This window comes from Homo sapiens, chromosome 11 (assembly GCF_000001405.40).
Source record: "Homo sapiens chromosome 11, GRCh38.p14 Primary Assembly".
Classification (NCBI taxonomy): Eukaryota; Metazoa; Chordata; class Mammalia; order Primates; family Hominidae; genus Homo; species Homo sapiens.
In genome coordinates this window covers 114,794,880-114,812,129 of record NC_000011.10, presented here as the reverse complement: position 1 = coordinate 114,812,129, position 17,250 = coordinate 114,794,880, and the positions used below count along the sequence as shown (strand labels likewise).

General features: G+C 41.9%; 1 protein-coding gene and 1 long non-coding RNA gene across 4 annotated transcripts in view; one reads left to right on the top strand and one right to left on the bottom strand.

Annotated features, from left to right (window-relative positions):
* NXPE2 (neurexophilin and PC-esterase domain family member 2) overlaps positions 1–17,250 on the bottom strand; it is a 349,427-nt gene that overhangs the window by 1,573 nt on the left and 330,604 nt on the right. Inside the window, exon 6 of one of the 3 annotated variants that reach the window (XM_017017212.2) lies at positions 7,185–7,348. In XM_017017212.2, the coding sequence (XP_016872701.1) occupies positions 7,185–7,348 (164 nt within the window). Of the gene's footprint in view, positions 1–6,898; positions 7,349–17,250 lie in introns of those variants that run through there. The other 2 variants (XM_017017211.2, XR_001747769.2) reach the window with 2 other exon arrangements.
* Positions 1–17,250, top strand: part of LOC105369506 (uncharacterized) — a 95,796-nt gene that overhangs the window by 60,637 nt on the left and 17,909 nt on the right. The gene's annotated exons all lie outside the window — the stretch shown is intronic.

The following is a 17,250-nucleotide window of genomic DNA, read 5'->3' as shown; positions in this document are numbered from 1 at the left end:
AGCTCAAACTCCACTGTGTGTGATTAAAAATCAATTTGCTCTCAACGCTAATCTGGATAATATGCTTCTTTCGTTGTGTCCTTTTTCTGATTAAACTGGCTTCTACTGATTTTTGTGATAATAATGGCTATCATTTTTTTGAGTGTCTGCTATGTGCCAGACACTGTGCTAAGCATGCGATAGTTAATTTAATTCTCCCAGCAGTTCTCTAAGGTACACATTACTATCCTCAGTTTACAGATGAGAAAACTGAAGCCTAGAGAAGTACAGTGGCTTTCCCAAGGTCATGGAGGTAATAAGTGACAGAGCTAAGGATGCAACCCATACTAACTGCATTCTCTGGCCCTACGACTGGTGACCACAGTGCAATGCCATCTAGCCCAGCCCTTCCTTGTGCCCTCAGTATTGGTGCCTGGATCCTGTCCTTGCTGATACTCTTGTGTCCCTCTCAGCACCCTTGAGTGTGGGGTTTGCACTTGTAAGTCCCCAGTGTGGAGGCTGGAGTCCTACCTGAATCCCAACCCAGGGGTAAGGCCCGGCCATCTGCCTGAAGACTTCCTACCACTGCCTGGCTGTTTGCCTCGTTCCGTCTATTTTGCATGCTTGGATTTTTCTCACCATTCTTTTCCCCTAGCCTGGTTGTGATAGTTGGAATCTGCATATTTTCTCTTCTTCATGATCACAATGATGAGGCTATTGGAGAAGAGACACCCCCTATCCCTACCTTTTTTTTGTGTGTGTGGTCTTTAAAGCCATTTCTTTCTCTTTTTTTGCATTTTTTTTATTTTATTATTATTATACTTTAAGTTTTAGGGTACATGTGCACAACGTGCAGGTTTGTTACATATGTATACATGTGCCATGTTGGTGTGCCGAACCCACTAACTCGTCATTTAGCATTAGGTATATCTCTTGATGCTATCCCTCCCCCCTCCCCCCACCCCACAACAGTCCCTGGTGTGTGATGTTCCCCTTCCTGTGTCCATGTGTTCTCATTGTTCAGTTCCCACCTATGAGCAAGAACATGCGGTGTTTGGTTTTTTGTCCTTGTGATAGTTTGCTGAGAATGATGGTTTCCAGTTTCATCCATGTCCCTACAAAGGACATGAACTCATCATTTTTTATGGCTGCATAGTATTCCATGGTGTATCTGTGCCACATTTTCTTAATCCAGTCTATCGTTGGACATTTAGGTCAGTTCCAAGTCTTTGCTATTGTGAATAGTGCCACTATAAACATATGTGTGCATGTGTCTTTATAGCAGCATGATTTATAATCCTTTGGGTATATACCCAGTAATGGGATGGCTGGGTCAAATGGTATTTCTAGTTCTAGATCCCTGAGGAATCGCCACACTGACTTCCACAATGGTTGAACTAGTTTATAGTCCCACCAACAATGTGAAAGTGTTCCTATTTCTCCACAGCCTCTCCAGCACCTGTTGTTTCCTGACTTTTTAATGATCGCCATTCTAACTGGTGTGAGATGGTATCTCATTGTGGTTTTGATTTGCATTTCTCTGATGGCCAGTGATGATGAGCATTTTTTCATGTGTTTTTTGGCTGCATAAATGTCTTCTTTTAAGAAGTGTCTGTTCATATCCTTTGCCCACTCTTTGATGGGGTTGTTTTTTTCTTGTAAATTTGTTTGAGTTCATTGTAGATTCTGGATATTAGCCCTTTGTCAGATGAGTAGGTTGCAAAGATTTTCTCCCATTCTGTAGGCTGCCTGTTCATTCTGATGGTAGTTTCGTTTGCTGTGCAGAAGCTCTTTAGTTTAATTAGATCTCATTTGTCAATTTTGGCTTTTGTTGCCATTGCTTTTGGTGTTCTAGACATGAAGTCCTTGCCCATGCCTATGTCCTGAATGGTATTGCCTAGGTTTTCTTCTAGGGTTTTTATGGTTTTAGGTCTAACATGTAAGTCTTTAATCCATCTTGAATTAATTTTTGTATAAGGTGTAAGGAAGGGATCCAGTTTCAGCTTTCTACATATGGCTAGCCAGTTTTCCCAGCACCATTTATTAAATAGGGAATCCTTTCCCCATTGCTTGTTTTTGTCAGGTTTGTCAAAGATCAGATGGTTGTAGATATGCGGCATTATTTCTGAGGGCTCTGTTCTGTTCCATTGGTCTATATCTCTGTTTTGGTACTAGTACCGTGCTGTTTTGGTTACTGTAGCCGTGTAGTATAGTTTGAAGTCAGGTAGTGTGATGCCTCCAGCTTTGTTCTTTTGGCTTAGGATTGACTTGGCGATGTGGGCTCTTTTTTGGTTCCATATGAACTTCAAAGTAGTTTTTTCCAATTCTGTGAAGAAAGTCATTGGTAGCTTGATGGGGATGGCATTGAGTCTATAAATTACCTTGGGCAGTATGGCCATTTTCATGATATTGATTCTTCCTACCCATGAGCATGGAATGTTCTTCCATTGGTTTGTATCCTCTTTTATTTCCTTGAGCAGTGGTTTGTAGTTCTCCTAGAAGAGGTCCTTCATGTCCCTTGTAAGTTGGATTCCTAGGTATTTTATTCTCTTTGAAGCAATTGTGAATGGGAGTTCTCTCATGATTTGGCTCTCTGTCTGTTATTGGTGTACAAGAATGGTTGTGATTTTTGTACATTGATTTTGTATCCTGAGACTTTGCTGAAGTTGCTTATCAGCTTGAGGAGATTTTGGGCTGAGACAATGGGGTTTTCTAGATATACAATCATGTCATCTGCAAACAGGGACAATTTGACTTCCTCTTTTCCTAATTGAATACCCTTTCTTTCCTTCTCCTGCCTGATTGCTCAGGCCAGAATTTCCAACACTATGTTGAATAGGAGTGGTGAGAGAGGGCATCCCTGTCTTGTGCCAGTTTTCAAAGGGAATGCTTCCCGTTTTTGCCCATTCAGTATGATATTGGTTGTGGGTTTGTCATAGATAGCTCTTATTATTTTGAGATACGTCCCATCAATACCTAATTTATTGAGAGTTTTTAGCATGAAGGGTTGTTGAATTTTGTCAAAGGCCTTTTCTGCATCTATTGAGATAATCATGTGGTTTTTGTCTTTGGTTCTGTTTATATTCTGGGTTACATTTATTGATTTGTGTATGTTGAACCAGCCTTGCATCCCAGGGATGAAGCCCACTTGATCATGGTGGATAAGCTTTTTGATGTGTTGCTGGATTCAGTTTGCCGGTGTTTTACTGAGGATTTTTGCATCAATGTTCATCAAGGATATTGGTCTAAAATTCTCTTTTTTTGTTGTGTCTCTGCCAGGCTTTGGTATCAGGATGTTGCTGGCCTCATAAAATGAGTTAGGCAGGATTCCCTCTTTTTCTGTTGATTGGAATAGTTTCGGAAGGAATGGTATCAGCTCCTCTTTGTACCTCTGGTAGAATTTGGCTGTGAATCCATCTGGTCCTGGACTTTTTTTGGTGGTAAGCTATTGATTATTGCCTCAATTTCAGAGCCTGTTATTGGTCTATTCAGAGATTCAACTTCTTCCTGGTTTAGTCTTGGGAGGATGCATGTGTCGAGGAATTTATCCATTTCTTCTAGATTTTCTAGTTTATTTGCGTAGAGATGTTTGTAGTATTCTCTGATGGTAGTTTGTATTTCTGTGGGATCGGTGGTGATATCCCCTTTATCATTTTTTATTGCATCTATTTGATTCTTCTCTCTTTTCTTCTTTATTAGTCTTGCTAGCAGCCTATCAATTTTGTTGATCCTTTCAAAAAACCAGCTCCTGGATTCATTAATTTTTTGAAGGGTTTTTTGTGTCTCTATTTCCTTCAGTTCTGCTCTGATTTTAGTTATTTCTTGCCTTCTGCTAGCTTTTGAATGTGTTTGCTCTTGCTTTTCTAATTCTTTTAATTGTGATGTTAGGGTGTCAATTTTAGATCTTTCCTGCTTCCTCTTGTGGGCATTTAGTGCTACAAATTTCCCTCTACACACTGCTTTGAATGTGTCCCAGAGATTCTGGTATGTTGTGTCTTTGTCCTCGTTGGTTTCAAAGAACATCTTTATTTCTGCCTTCATTTCATTATTTACCCAGTAGTCGTTCAGGAGCAGGTTGTTCAGTTTCCATGTAGTTGAGCAGTTTTGAGTGAGTTTCTTAATCCTGGGTTCTAGTTTGATTGCACTGTGGTCTGAGAGACAGTTTGTTATAATTTCTGTTCTTTTACATTTGCTGAGGAGTGCTTTACTTCCAACTATGTGGTCAATTTTGGAGTAGGCATGGTGTGGTGATGAAAAGAATGTATATTCTGTTGATTTGGGGTGGAGAGGTCTGTAGATGTCTATTAGGTCTGCTTGGTGCAGAGCTGAGTTCAATTCCTGGGTATCCTTGTTAACTTTCTGTCTCGTTTGATCTGTCTAATGTTGACAGTGGGGTGTTAAAGTCTCCCATTATTATTGTGTGGGAGTCTAAGTCTCTTTGTAGGTCACTAAGGACTTGCTTTATGAATCTGGGTGCTCCTGTATTGGTTGCATATATATTTAGGACAGTTAGCTCTTCTTGTTGAATTGATCCCTTTACCATTATGTAATGGCCTTCTTTGTCTCTTTTGATCTTTGTTGGTTTAAAGTCTGTTTTATCAGAGACTAGGATTGCAACCCCTGCCTTTTTTTGTTTTCCATTTGCTTGGTAGATCTTCCTCCATCCCTTTATTTTGAGCCTATATGTGTCTCTGCATGTGAGATGGGTTTCCTGAATACAGCACACTGATGGGTCTTGACTCTTTATCCAATTTGCCAGTCTGTGTCATTTAATTGCAGCATTTAGCCCATTTACATTTAAAGTTAATATTGTTATGTGTGAATTTGATCCTGTCATTATGATGTTAGCTTGTTATTTTGCTCGTTAGTTGATGCAGTTTCTTCCTAGCCTTGATGGTCTTTACAGTTTGGCATGTTTTTGCAGTGGCTGGTACTGGTTGTTCCTTTCCATGTTTAGTGCTTCCTTCAGGAGCTCTTTTAGGGCAGGCCTGGTGGTGACAAAATCTCTCAGCATTTGCTTGTCTGTAAAGTATTTTATTTCTCCCTCACTTATGAAGCTTAGTTTGGTTGGATATGAAATTCTGGGTTGAAAGTTCTTTTCTTTAAGAATTTTGAATATTGGTCCCCACTCTCTTCTGGCTCGTAGAGTTTCTGGCGAGAGATCAGCTGTTAGTCTGATGGGCTTCCCTTTGTGGGTAACCCGACTTTTCTCTCTGGCTGCCCTTAACATTTTTTCCTTCATTTCAACTTTGGTGAATCTGACAATTACGTGTCTTGGAGTTGCTCTTCTCAAGGAGTATCTTTGTGGCGTTCTCTGTATTTCCTGAATCTGAATGTTGGCCTGCCTTGCTAGATTGGGGAAGTTCTCCTGGATAATATCCTGCAGAGTGTTTTCCAACTTGGTTCCATTCTCCCCATCACTTTCAGGTACACCAATCAGACGTAGATTTGGTCTTTTCACATAGTCCCATATTTCTTGGAGGCTTTGTTCTTTTTATTCTTTTTTCTCTAAACTTCTCTTCTCGCTTCATTTCATTCCTTTCGTCTTCCATCACTGATACCCTTTCTTCCAGTTGATCGCATCGGCTACTGAGGCTTCTGCATTCGTCATGTAGCTCTCGTGCCTTGGTTTTCAGCTCCATCAGGTCCTTTAAGGACTTCTCTGCATTGATTATTCTAGTTATCCATTTGTCTAATTTTTTTTTCAAAGCTTTTAACTTCTTTGCCATTGGTTCGAATTTCCTTCTGTAGCTTGGAGTAGTTTGATCATCTGAAGCTGCCTTCTCTCAACTCGTCCAAGTCATTCTCTGTCTAGCTTTGTTCCATTGCTGGTGAGGAGCTGCATTCCTTTGGAGGAGGAGAGGCGCTCTGATTTTTAGAGTTTCCAGTTTTTCTGCTCTGTTTTTTTCCCATCTTTGTGGTTTTATCTACCTTTGGTCTTTGATGATGGTGACGTACAGATGGGTTTTGGGTGTGGACGTCCTTTCTGTTTGTTAGTTTTCCTTCTAACAGACAGGACCCTCAGCTGCAGGTCTGTTGGAGTTTGCTAGAGGTCCACTCCAGACCCTGTTTGCCTGGGTACCAGCAGCGGTGGCTGCAGAACAGCGGATATTGGTGAACTGCAAATGCTGCTGCCTGATCGTTCCTCTGAAAGTTTTGTCTCAGAGGAGTACCCGGCAGTGTGAGGTGTCAGTCTGCCCCTACTGAGGGGTGCCTCCCAGTTATGCTACTCGGGGGTCAGGGACCCACTTGAGGAGGCAGTCTGCCTGTTCTCAGATCTCAAGCTGCGTGCTGGGAGAACCACTACTCTCTTCAAAGCTGTCAGAGAGGGACATTTAAGTCTGCAGAGGTTACTGCTGTCTTTTTGTTTGTCTGTGCCCTGCCCCCAGAGGTGGAGCCTACAGAGGCAGGCAGGCCTCCTTGAGCTGTGGTGGGCTCCACCCAGTTCAAGCTTCCCGGCTGCTTTGTTTACCTAATCAAGCAACTAACTCGGCAATGGCAGGCGCCCCTCCCCCAACCTCGCTGCCACCTTGCAGTTTGATCTCAGACTGCTGTGCTAGCACTGAGCGAGACGCCGTGGGCGTAGGACCCTCTGAGCCAGGTGTGGGATATAATCTCCTGGTATGCCATTTTTAAAGCTGGTTGGAAAAGCTTCAGTATTAGGGTAGGAGTGACCCGATTTTCCAGGTGGTGTCTGTCACCCCTTTCTTTGACTAGGAAAGGGAATTCCCTGACCCCTTGTGCTTCCCGGGTGAGGCGATGCCTTGCCCTGCTTCGGCTCGTGCATGGTGCGCTGCACCCACTGTCCTGCACCTACTGTCTGGCACTCCCCAGTGAGATGAACCCAGTACCTCAGTTGGAAATGCAGAAATCACCCATCTTCTGCGTGGCTCATGCTGGGAGCTGTAGACCAGAGCTGTTCCTATCTCCCTCCCTACCTTTTTTAAAAAAAAAAAAAACTCCTTGTGGTCCCAAAAAGTAACCCAAGGTTACTTGTTTAGCCTGTGGGAGAGATCCTGGGAATCACTGAGAAAGCTTCATTTTGTCTTACATTTAAGGAGTGAGCTCTGATTGTACCTAATCTGACTACCTCCTTAGCAGCTACAAGAGAGAAATCTTCCTTAGACCCCCACTCCAAAGAAGAAGAAGATAGAAATATACTCTAAAGAGAAAACATCCCCTGGGAGTTTCATAAGGGAAATTACATTTTCAAATTCCTTCAGCATCCATGAATCTAATCCATAGGATCTGGATAGTAGTCTACAGAGTGTGGAGTTTGCCAAGATCTGTGGTTCTTTCCATCTGAAGCCTTTGTTCAGGAAGCCCTGGTCTTCCTCCTCCAGCCACATCTCAGGTCTGGGGCATTTTCCTACAAGGACACAACAATATTAAACTTTGTTAAAGAAGGAAGAAGAGCTACAAAGCAACTCACTCAGTAATTTTCTTGCTGACCCCAATCTAAGCTGGTTCTTATTCCTTATCTTGATTCTACTATGTAGACAAAAATGAAGACTTCTCTCTAAGACCAATCATTTTAAGGGGCAAATAAAAAGTGACAATGCAAATACACTCACACAAAAACAAAAGAAATAACACCCAAACCCAAAATGAACAGAAACCAAAAACCAGCCTCTGCACTCATAAAATGTGATTGCTTTATGGTGAACAGACAGTCCACAATGAATGGCAAGTTAATTGTCTATTGATGTTGTCCTCTTCAGCCTCTTGGTAGGCAAGGATTTGATCATTTCATGTTCCTTAAAGATAAGACTGCAGACCATAGAATCTAGCTGGAGATGATAACACAGTTTCCTGAGTGAAGGCTATAAAGGGACAAAACCATAGACCTTGGCAAATCCCAGAGCAAATCTCTTAACCTTGAGGCCACACTCTCCAGTACAGACTATGGGAATAGGGAGCAGAGGGAAATGGAGTGGTTAGAAATCTTCCCTGATACTTGATGAGCTTCCTTTGGGAAAGTTAAAAGGGAGTACCTTTAAACAACAACCTGACTGAGCAGTCTTAGAGGCTGCAGACTGCAGTCAGGTGCATTGCAGGGACAGCCTGTTGAATACCTTTGAAACTGCCCTTTTGTAGAGTAGATATAGAGGAGGACTGCTATGGTCTGAATGTTTTGTTCCCCCATAACTCATATTTTGAAGCCTAATTCTCAATGTTACAGTTTTAAATGGAGGACCTTTGGGGGGTGATTAGATCATGAGGATGGAGCCCTCATGAATGAGATTAGTGCCCTTATACAAGAGACCTGAGGGGGGCGGGCATGGTGGCTCATGCCTGTAATCGCAGCATTTTGGGAGGCCGAGGTGGGCGGATCACGAGGTCTGGAGTTTGAGACCATCCTGGCCAACATGGTGAAACTCCATCTCTACTGAAAAAATACAAAAAATGAGTCAGGCGTGGTGGCACACACCTGTAGTCCCAGCTACTCGGGAGGCTGAGGCAGGAGAATTGCTTGAACCCAGGAGGTGGAGGTTGCAGTGAACCCAGATTGTGCCACTGTGCTCCAGCCTGGCAACAGAGTGAGACTCCATCTCAAAAAAAAAAAGAGAGAGAGAGAGACCTGAGGGAGTTTGTTTGCCTCTTCTACCTTTTAATGACACAGCTATAAGGCACCATCTATGAGGAAAAGAACCCTCACCAGATACCACCAGTGCCTTGGTCTCAGGCTTCTCAGCCTCCAGAACTGTGAGAAATAAATTTCTGCTGTTTATAAGTTACCCAGTCTAAGGTATCTTGTTATAGCCACCAGAACAGACTAATACAGCGACTGAAGTGTGCATCTTAAATAGGCCAACTGTCACTATTATAAAATGTGCTATCCACATCCTCATTTTTTAGTTAGTAAGTTCGGGTTGTCAGTTTTTCTTAGTCCCCTGAAGTGTGTAGGTTTAGAAATAAATTCTTTCATTATTTTTTCTGCACAGGGGTAAAACAAATGGGAACAGGCCCAGGCTGGAATCAAAAAGGCAATTACTGAGTGTACAGAACAATTGACAAAGGCCGTGTGGCCCCTGCCTCTGGCCTTGGCTGAGCCTGTTGCAGGCAGGAGAGCGCTGAGTAGACAGGTTGGTGGAGAAGCAGTCGTCTGATCTTCCTTGAGAGATGCTGATCTCACACCCTGGGGACCTGCGGGCCCTGCTTCACCACGGCCTCTCTGTAAACACATCACCCCTGGAATCAGATGGTTTCATGTCTGCAGAAGGTTCCTAATTCTCCGTTTTTTTTTAATTATCTTTTTTATTTCCATGACTCATTTTACTTTCCAGTATAATTGTTGAGTACATCAATCTCAACTTTAGATAAGCAAAAGTGTATTTATTTAAACTTGATTAAAGATATCAAACAAGAGGAAGAACTAAAACCCCACGGCATCATGTCATGTCATACTGTACTTGGAGATATAGACAGACACATCAAGTTTACAATTAGGAATTAGACTCAAATTTCAAAAGGCTGCGTATCACAGGTGTTGATATGCAGTGAACAAAGAAAAAAATAATTATTAAAAAAAATAAAAGACTGTCTAGCTCAATGATTCCATCAGCAACTGCAAGTGTGCTACTTTCCTCTAATAAGAAAGTCCACGCTAGACCCCAGGAAGCACATAACCAGGCTGGGCCAATCAACTGTGTTATTCTGTTCTCCTGGCCTGTGACTGGTTCCAAGGATGGGCTTGTGACCCAAACCCGGACAAATCAGTGATCTTCTGTAGGATATTTCACACTTAAGTTGGGAGGAAGACTTTTTCTAAGATGAAATTCAGAGCTGCCTGTGGCTATGTTTCCTTCAAATAGAAAAATTCTGTAATGAAGACTACAGATGGAATTAGACTGAGTTGAAAGATTGACGGGGAGAGACAGTGAGGGAGAACCCAGAGTGGCAAAGAAAGACGGCAGCACTCCAATGGCACTGTAGACCCTGAGTGTTGTTGTCCCTGAGGTCAGACCCACTCTTGCCAAATCTGGGTTGTTTATTGGGCTAATGAATTGCCTTTTATTCCAGGATCGTCCTCTTCTAAATGACGTTTAAATCTTGGCATCCCCAAGGTTCAGTCCCAAGCCATTTTCTTGTCTTTATCTATTCACTCTCTTGGTGATCTCATCTAGTCTCATGGTTTTAAATACCACTTATGTTGATGGCTTGTAAATTTATAAGTGTAGCCCTTACCTCTACACCCATAGATCTGGCTGCCTGATCAACAATGCCTCTCCGCTGTCTGGTAGTCATTTTGATCTGACTTGTCCAACACAACACTCATCCCTCTCCTCTCCTCTCTGCCCCTACCCCCTAACCTGGGCTTTCCCATCTCAGTAAATAGTACCACCAATTGCATATTTCATGGTTCAGTCCAGAAACCTGACTCGTCCCTATTTTGCACCTCCAACATCCAATCTATCACCAAATCCTGCTGGTTTTTCCTCTAAAATAAATCTCCCATCTGCCTACTCCTTTTCTTCTCCTTTTCTTCACATCCTGGTCTATCACAACAGCTTCCTAACTGGTCTCCTTGCTTTTACTCTTGACAACCTATAACATATTCTCCAACTCCACGCAGCACATAGGGCACTCTTTTAAGAATCTGAATGAGTTAATGCCATTCCCATGCTTAACTTTCTACAATTGCTTTTACAATAATTAATAAAATCCAGGCTTCTTATCATGGTCTACAAGACTCTATGATCTGTCCCCTGTCCATCTCTCCAACTCATCTTCTTCCTTCATTAAGTCTTCTTTCCTTGAAACTGTCAAATTTGCTGTCTGCCTTAAGGCCTTGCATTTGCTCATCTCTGCCCAGAATGTTTGCACAACTGGTTTCTTTTCATCATTCCAATGCCTCAGAGAAGACTTCTCTCTCCCCTAAATCTAAGTTATCTCTGATTCTTTAGTAACAATCTATATACTAGGTTAAGTATCTTATCACAATCTGATATTCTCTTTTCCTTTTTTCTTTATATTTTCTCTCTTTCTACTAGAATGTAAGCACCATAAAACAAGGGACTTTGTGTTTTCACTACTGTTAACCTCAGCATCTAGAATAGCTTCTGGCAAAGAGAAGTGCTCAGTGTTTGTTGAATGAATAAAAGTCATATAGCTGGGTTTCTCTCATTTGCAAATAAAGGAGATCGCAAGAGCTACAAAATAGTTTCTTATAATTTCACATACTAATCAGTAATTGTCATAGTTTAGAACTTAATAGATTATAAAGTTGTGTTGAATGCTGTAACAGTAGCAACAACAGCAGCAACAATGATACTTGTTTATTGAGCATTTACTACATTCTAGACACAAGATTTTTGCATTAGTCAGATTTAATCCCCACAGAAATCCTGTGAGGTGGGTATCTTTATCTTCTTTTAAACAGTGTTATAAACAGACCAAGAGAGATTACACAATTTGTCCAAGATTACACAGTAAGTAAAATTGGTGGGCTTTGAACTTGAACTTGGGAGTTCTGATTCCAATGTCAGTATTTATTCATGACATCACACTATCTCTGGAAAGTAAATATAATGCTAGAATATGAAAGATAAATATTTAACAAATTCAACACTCTACTTCTTACTAGGTACGAGGTTTGCAGATATCTTGCTAGATAGAAACTTCACTGCTAACAACAACAGCATAAAATACGACTCAAAAGGCACTTTACAGGAAAAGCAAAAAAAATCAGTTTAACAAACAGTTTGAATAATCAAAGAATGTCAAGAGTCTAACCTTCGCTACTACCTTACATTTTATTGTAGCGTAGCTTTAGAAGAAACAAAAATATCTGCTCAAGCATCTCACAGTGATGTTGAGACATTATAAAGGCATTTTGAGTAAGAAAAATTATATCATGTGCATGTGAGGTTTAATTATTTTTAGATTGGTTAACCCCTTATTCCCAGAGACAAATGTCAGCTCATCCAAGAAGCTTGCAATTTTGGGGGTAAAGATGCTGTTTGTTCTGTACTGCTGTGAACTAATAAGAATTGTTCCCATAAGTAGGACCAATGAAAATAATTTTAAACCTACGAACATTTGGAAGAATGTTGGAAAGAAATAGAAGGATCTAGGCACAATTGCATTGGATCCAAATAGCCGGAAGTCACAGACCAAGAAGCTTGTGTTATATTTCCTTAGAAACACTACCTAGAAAGAAAGAGGGAGAGGGAGGAGGGAGACAGAGGAAGAAGGAGAGAAAACGGATGAAGACGGGAGGGAGGGAGTGCAGAGAGAAGGAAGGATAAAGAGAAAGAGAAAAGGAAGAAAGGGAGGGAGGGTGAGATGAAGGGAGGGAGGGGAACTGTTAACACCGCCGGTCATGAGATGAACTCTCTAGGCTTGTCATTCCGGAGCCCTTTGTCCTCTCAATGTGTATAGATGCTCCCTCTGGCTGCAGATTCCTCTGTTGAAGCTCTGGCACTGAGGCTTGCCTCACACTTCCTTGTTGCTGTTTAAACGGGTGCAGCCTCTGCTCTCCCCCTTCTGCCTCACAGGCCTGGAAGAATGATTGTAAGCAGTGCACAGAACACATCGGCAAGTCTCCTTCCCACCCAGGGGGTCTCCTTGTCGGGCTGACTGCTGCTTTGTCTTGATTTGGAATCTCTCTGTTTCCTCCTTGGCTCCTTCTCCCCTCAAAGTGCCCACTGGCTTATAATGGTCACACTTCATCACCATCTCATTTATCTGTGGGCCTGCCTCCTCAGGACCACTCCATTCTCTGATATATTTGATGAAACTCTTATTTTCCTTAACTCTTCTCCAAACGATAACTCAGCCAGCATTTTTGCCAACCTTATCTTTTCCCAGCAGTCTTAACTGATGCCACCAATTTTTTTTTTTTTTTTTTTTTTTTGCTTCATTGCCTCTCATCTTCTCCATTTGTAGGACAGATGTTTCCTTTTCTTCTTATTAATTATCACAAATACCCAAATAAAACCTAAAGATAGACTAACTTATTTTCTCTTCTCTATCAATAGGAATTAAAGAACTATTATCTGTTCCCTCCTGTTACTAAGGAAATCCTTAGGTAGAAAAATAAAAATAAAAACACTGAAATTACCCATTTATTTAATTGCAAGGCACTTGCTTTCATAAGCCACATTTTCACTGCTGAGAACATTCTGATTTGGCAACAAAAGGCAAAAGCTACTTCTAGTGAGAGCGGCAAGGAGTCCACGCCTGCTATACGACAGTGTGGAGAAAGCGCGTGAGGCAGCTTTCACGGCTCTCCACCTTTGAGGGAGGGGCAGCCAGGAGGTGCAGACAGAACCCGGGCCTGGGAAGGTACAGATTGAAAGAGATGGACACAGTCAAGACAGGAAGATCAAGGGACTAGATGAAATGTTAACAAAGACTAGAGCAACACAAAGAAACTTAGAGACAGGGGCAAACTGGAGAGCCATGAAAGAGATATGGTTTATTAACTATGAAAAGTAGCAAAAGGCAGAAAAAGAAAGAGTCCCGGCCGGGTGCAGTGGCTCACGCCTGTAATCCCAGCACTTTGGGAGGCCAAGGCGGGAGGATCACGAGGTCAGGAGTTCAAGACCAGCCTGACCAACAGGGTGAAACCCCGTCTGTACTAAAAATACAAAAATTAGCCAGGCATGGTGGCATGTGCCTGTAATCCCAGCTACTGAGGAGGCTGAGGCAGAAGAATCACTTGAACCCTAGAGGCAGAGATTGCAGTGAGCTAAGATTGCTGCACTCCAGCCTGGGTGTCAGAGCAAGACTCTGGAAAGAAGAAAAGGGAAGGGAAGGGAGAAAAGAAAGAAACAGAGGGAAGGAGGAGCCCAAAGAGAGAAAGAGATGAAGATTACAGGGCAGGTCATTAAAAGTTTGTCCAATTTTCCTGGGGACAGTAGCTGCAATTCAGGTAACTGTTACCTGTTGGTGACAGAAATTTTGGGGTTTTTGTGCTGCCATTTATCATTAAAAATCTCAGAGCTAAATACACAAGATTCAAATATTGCTTGACATTTTCCTAGTGAAATAGGTTTTTATTAAAACACAAATGTATGTTAGAGCAGTATTCTCTTTTAGATATATATATAAATAAGGGAAATATAAGCAGAAGCAAGACCTAAAGAAATAGAAGGATCTGGGCACAATTGCAGTCTGATAGCCAATTTAACTTCGGTTTAGATTGTTTCTCAGTTTAACCATGGTTTCTACACAGACAGACAAAATATTGGCTGTTTCAGACATCAAAGAGGAGATCCGAGCCTTGGCCCAGAAGCAATTACTTTAAGTGACTTGTCTAGTTCTGACACTAGCTGCTCAAGGATGTGGGCCTCAGAACTTCACATGAAGATTGTTTTAGTATGAAAATCTTCAACCACAGTATTATAATATAAGCATTATTCGTCCCAAAGTTCACGGACACCATCTAATAAAGTTGCTGGAATGAAATGTCTTCCCTGTCTTATGGCTCACTTGAAAGGTTCATGGAATTCATTTAGCTCTGGCACAGCAAATAGATTTCATCTCAAGAGCAAACTCTGGTTAATAGATGGTAGCTGCCAGGGAAGCTCTGCTGAGACAACATGTGTTGAGAATGAGTGTGTGCTTGGAGGGAAAGGGTGCTGAGCCTGAGGAGCTCCACGTGCCATAAATACAGGAGGGAGGGGTGCCAAAATGCCTGCTGTGAACTGAGGACCTCGTGACCTGGCGGAAGCTACCTTACTAACCCTTATTTAAGCATCTCCTTGAGAAGTCTGAGGCTGTTCTGCTGGGCTGTGGGCCCAGAAGGAGAGAAAATAGAAGAAGGTGGGGTGTCAGCTAAAAGAGACACGGTAGGCCACCTCCTGGTTTCCACTAAACTCTCGTTTCACCTTTCTAATTTCATGTCAGTTTATTTCAAGAGCAGTTCCAGGAAGTTAAGAGGAGGGACACTGTCTGCTGTATGCTAGGCACTTGGGATATAGTGATTAATGTGACATTATCCAGCTCCCATGGAACCCATAGCCTAGTTGGGTGAGGAGGGAGATCAGTCACATCAAGATTTATTTTAATACACCGTGAGTCATGCGATACTGAATACCAGTCTCCTACAGGAAACCTTTCCATGACCCATTGCTTCCTGCCTAAAGGCCAACTTTCTTATTGTGGCACACGGATCCCTATTAACACAGATTCCGTTTACATCTCCAGCTTTCTGTGCTTCATCTATACTGAACTTTTTAAAATTTTCCAAACAAATCATATTTCAGTCCCCTGCAGACTCACCATACTTTTCCATCTGCCTGGAAAACTTTAACTCCTTTCCCACCAGTGCTCTGCCTAACCTGCTCAACAGCTCTTAGCCTTCCTCCAGCAATTCCAATGGTACACATCTCACACAGCACTTTGCTCATCTGAGCACTCATCACTCTATGTTGGGATTGGTTAGTTACATGTCTGTTTCTGCCTATAGACTGTTTGGTCTGTGAAGGCAGGGACCAGGAATGTGTTCATCTTTACATTCCCAGAAAGCAGCAGAAAGCCTGGCACTCATTAGGTTCTTGTGGGATATTTGCTAGATAAGTAAATCAACAGAAATTGTATTCAAGTGGGTGATTCACTATGCCTTTGGTTTACTATTATTACATATTGGACACAGAAAGGGGGTTGCAAGAGATTTTTTTTTGAATTTCAGAGGAAACAGTTAACCACTTTATCTCAGTAGCTTCTACATGTGTCTAAGGGTATCACTCTAGGTCTTTCTCTGATACTTATTTTCAGTTTCTAAGCTCCAAGGTTTTAGCTATAATAATATACATAAAAGTTTACTCCTCCCATGGATATTTGAAATTAAAACTTGGTTTTGGAAAATAAAAAATTCTTCAAGGACTGAATAAAGAGCAACAATAATTAATATGCGAACAGAGCTTTAAGATTTATACTACAAGCCCAGACCCCATCATTATGCAATATATCAGTGTAACAAATCTCTACATGTATACCCTGAATCTAAAATAAATTTTTTAAATGCAAAAAGCTTTTATGTTATTTTTATTTGCTTCCTACAATAAACTGGGGCTCAGAAAGCTTGAGAATCTGCCCAGCAAACAGATTGGACAGAACAAGGCATCAAAGATGGTGTATCTTTTAAATCCAAGTCCTATGTCCTTTCTCCTACAACACCACAGTTTCCCATGGCTGATAGGGGAATTCTAGGTACTGAATAGGAGTGTGAGAGAGCTGTTTTGGGATAGGGTGGATCTACCTGGTACCAGGCAAATCATACCATATAAGCAACTTCCTCCTCTACCCACGGTGAACCTATCCCTGGGGAGAAGTTATGGCCTTAGCCCCTTTTGAAAATTCATTAGTGAATTCCAGGGTTTGGTCCTAGGCTGGCTGAGCAGACTTAGGTGCTATCATTGCAGTCTTTCACCCTAAGTTGAATGTAAGACATGCACAGGTGCATGGTGGCCAGAGATAGATAGAACAATTTGCCAGCAAGGGCACCATCCTAACTGGAAAAGAGTGGTTTCCCTCAGGGGTTGTGTTGAATGCCAACTGATGAGTGGACATGAACTCATGTCCTGGCAGGGTGGAGTCTCTCCAGGATGTGAATGCTATTATCAGAATACCAAAGCAAGGATGGGCAACAGGGACTAAACAGACGGGGAGAGATGAATAAAGAGTTAATCCAAAGTTGGAAACTGGGTATCATGCATTCAAGGACCAAATGAAGTTGTATAGGCAGGATCCTATTGTGTTAGGATTATTTTGGAAAGTTGAAACCCCATAACCCTGAAAGAGATCTGTTTTGAGCCAAGCCTTGGAGAGCTGACTGGGAAACCAGTTGAGGAATAGGGAAGCTGAATGCAGGAGGGTAGCCAATCCCTACTGAAAAATGAATCCCATCTCTGAAATTCCTAGAGTCTTTCCCTGTGCTCATCTGCAAAGTCTAGATCCAGCCTTCCTTCACATCCCTTCTCCAACCACTTGCAAACTGGGAAGGCTTTCTCTTGCTTCCTTCACCTCCCAGGATTGTCAATATACAGAGGCGTGCTATTTATCTCTGTCACTCAGCCTTCTCCTACCTTAGGGCAAAAACTACCATTGATTACAGACCTACCCAATTAAAGCTTCAGAACACTTAAGTTAGCAATTATTATTAGCCACAAAATGCTGGAAATTGTTTTTTAGGCATCATCTTGTTGTTTACTCTGACAGGTTCCCATTGAGCTTTCTCTGAACTATTCTGTGAGTTGGAAGGATAGTTCCAAAGCAGTTAATTTGCCTCCTGAGCTTTCATGGTTCACAGCTGAGAATGAG